At 39.4% G+C, this 3,033-nt stretch overlaps 1 protein-coding gene and 1 long non-coding RNA gene across 5 annotated transcripts in view; both read left to right on the top strand.

Moving 5' to 3' along the window:
* The window catches only part of NPHP3-ACAD11 (NPHP3-ACAD11 readthrough (NMD candidate)), a 164,322-nt gene that overhangs the window by 68,030 nt on the left and 93,259 nt on the right, over positions 1 to 3,033 (top strand). The window lies entirely within an intron of this gene.
* Positions 1 to 3,033, top strand: part of ACAD11 (acyl-CoA dehydrogenase family member 11) — a 101,669-nt gene that overhangs the window by 5,380 nt on the left and 93,256 nt on the right. The gene's annotated exons all lie outside the window — the stretch shown is intronic.

The raw sequence follows: 3,033 nt of genomic DNA, 5'->3' as shown, positions 1-3,033 counted from the left end.
GCTTACTACTCTGAGTGGTCAGTGATTTCACTGTAAGCTGAGTCACTTGTCATAAGTGACTCCATTATGAGACATTTATGATCATAAAACATAATTATATATCAGTGCATAATAGGCTATACCATCTAGGTTTGTGTAAGTGCACTCTAGGATGTTTACACGTGACAAAAATCACTTAACAACATATTTTCCAGAACACATCCCTGTCATTAAGCAATGCATGACTGTATTTTGAAGGGTTTACTAACTGATTAAATGTGGGCTAGGAAAGGAAGAGACGAAGATTATTTCATTTCTGCCTTGGTAACTGAAAGAATAGGGTTATTGTGAACTGAAATGTAGGTGACTATAGAAAAGCAGATTTGAGGGGGAAATTTGAGGAACTCAGTTTTGGAGTGTTAAGTTTCAAGATGCCTTTTAGACATCCAAGTAGATATGTATAGTAAGCAGTTGGTTATGTCTTGAGGTCGGGGCAGAGATCTGGACTAGACATATAAATTTGAGAGCCATCGACAAAAAGAAGATATTTAAAGACATAAGATCGAAGGTCTTACTTAGAAAATAGTTCACATAAAAAGGAGGTTTGGAGACTGAGTCCAAGGCACCCCAATATTAAGAAGTTAGCAAATTAAGAGAAACCTACAAAGGAGTCTTAGAAGAAGTGGCCAAAGAGGTGGGGGAAAACCATGGTTTGTATTAGTGATCTTGAAAAAGTAGTATTAATGGAAAGAAGGGAATGAAAGCTTGATTGAAATGGGTTTAAGAAGATAGGAGGAGGACGTGTAATCTCTTGAGGAGTTTTTCTACGAAAGGAAATAGAAATGTTTTAAGTAGGGGGGAAGTGAGGTCAAGAGAAAGCTTTTTAAAAAATAACATCATATTTGTATGCTGATGACAGTAATCTAGAAGAGAAAATTTTGTGTAGGAGAGAGGCCTGGAAAGAAGTCCTTAAGAAGGCAGGACTCTAATATGCAAGAGAAGGGGTTGCCCTTAGATAGAAATGTGCACGTCCTTCTGCAGACTTTGGAGGGAAGACAGAATATATGTGTACAGATTATTGTATGCAGTAGATACAGTAGTGTAAGCTTGTGGAAGTTCTCATCTGATTGCTCCTATTTGCTCGTTGAAATAGGAACCTAGGTAATTAATTAGCTGAGAATGAAGATGGAGAAGAAAGTGTTTGAGGTTTGAGGAGAGAGAATTATGAAACAGCCATCCAAGAGAATGGGAGAATAAATGAGCTAAGGAAATATGATTGCCAGATGTGGTTCACTTTGAGGTTTGCTGAGGTCATGAATTTGAAGCAAGAATAGATATTTCAGTAGATATTACTAATGCTTTGTCCAGATCCTCTTGGATCCCTTTCTAGTGTTGCTGTACATGTCCTGCCTTTGTTGGTTTTTGCTTCCAATAAACAGCATCTATGCCTCTTTTTTTGGTAAACTGCCCTCAGGCTATTGGAGCACCCTTTGCTCTTACTGTTGTAGTACCTGAGGTGGACCTTAACCAATAGTGATTCAGAAGTATGAAATTTTCATTATCCTTGCTTCAGAGACATGTTTTGAACTTTGACACGGCAGAGTTCCCCCATTACCTTTACCCCCACCTACACACTGGTGAGATCAGGCTGAAGCTACCCTCTAAGGGACTTTGTCTTAGATCACACCTTTGCTTAGCTTTCTCCCCTTTCTTGACCTGCTTCCCCAAATTTCTTATTAGTTCCCCAAACATTTCCTTAATAAGTCACTTGTATATAATTTTTTTTCTCATGATCTGTTTATTGGGAACCTAACCTAAAACAGTAATTATGACTGTATGTGTCTTTCTTCAGCTATGGCCAGTTATATCAGTGTAAGCAAAAAAAAAATGGATTTAACATGGATGGGAGTTTTGCCAAGCAAACACCATGAAGTGAGGAAAGGGCAAGTGAAGTATACTGAAGGTGTATTCAAGGTAGTGGTTATATGATTTGCTATCAAATTTAACCTAGTTAAGGAAAGATTTATTAGTCTGTTCTCATATTGCTAATAAAGACATACCCGAGACTGGGTAATTTATAAAGGAAAGAGGTTTAATGGACTCACAGTTCCACATGGCTGGGGAGTCCTCACAATCATGGCAGAAGACAAAGGAAAAGCAAAGGGATGTCTTACATGAAGTCAGGCAAGAGAGAATGTGTACAGGGGAACTCTCCATTATAAAACCATCAGATCTCATGAGACTTATTCACCATCATGAGAACAGCACAGGAAAGACCCACTGCCATTATTCAATTACCTCCTACCAGGTCTCACCCATGATACATGGGAATTGGGAATTATGGGAGCTACAATTCAAGATAAGATTTGGGTGGGGACACAGCCAAACCATATCATTCCACCCCTGACCCTTCCCAAACGTCATGTCCTCATATTTTAAAATGAATCATGCCTTCTGACAGTCCCCCAAAGTCTTATTTCAGCATTAACTCAAAAGTCCACCGTCCAAAGTCTCATCTGAGACAAGGTAAGTCCCTTCTGCCTATGAGCCTGTAAAATCAAAAGCAAGCTAGTTACTTCCTAGATACAATGGGGGTACAGGCATTAGGTAAATATACCTGTTCCAAATGAGAGAAATTGTCCAAAATAAAAGGGGCTACAGGCCCCATGCAAGTCCAAAATCCAGTGGGACAGTCTTAAAGTTCTAAAATGATATCCTTTGACTCCATGTTCACATCCAGGTCACAGTGATGCAAGAGGTGGGCTCCCACAGTCTTGGGCAAAGGATATGGTCGGGGGATATGAGGTGAATGGCAGTATGATCAATGGATGGTAGGTCAAGTATTGATTGAAGGATTGTTGGAATTGAGGCACTAGCAGGAGTGAGTGGAAAGGTAGGAGGTTAGAGGTAGAAATGTTTAGAAACTAGGATTATTCAGTGCTTTTACTGTTGATATTGCTAAAGTGTAGGGTGTAACTCCTAGAATTACTGGCTGAGATAGTGTCAAGGAAAATATCACTGGTGGAGAAAATTCAAGGAACTGATGGGCCTAAA

This window comes from Homo sapiens, chromosome 3 (assembly GCF_000001405.40).
Source record: "Homo sapiens chromosome 3, GRCh38.p14 Primary Assembly".
In the NCBI taxonomy this organism is placed as follows: Eukaryota; Metazoa; Chordata; class Mammalia; order Primates; family Hominidae; genus Homo; species Homo sapiens.
The sequence above is the reverse complement of the archived record's forward strand: the minus strand, read 5'-3'. Positions and strand labels throughout refer to the sequence as shown.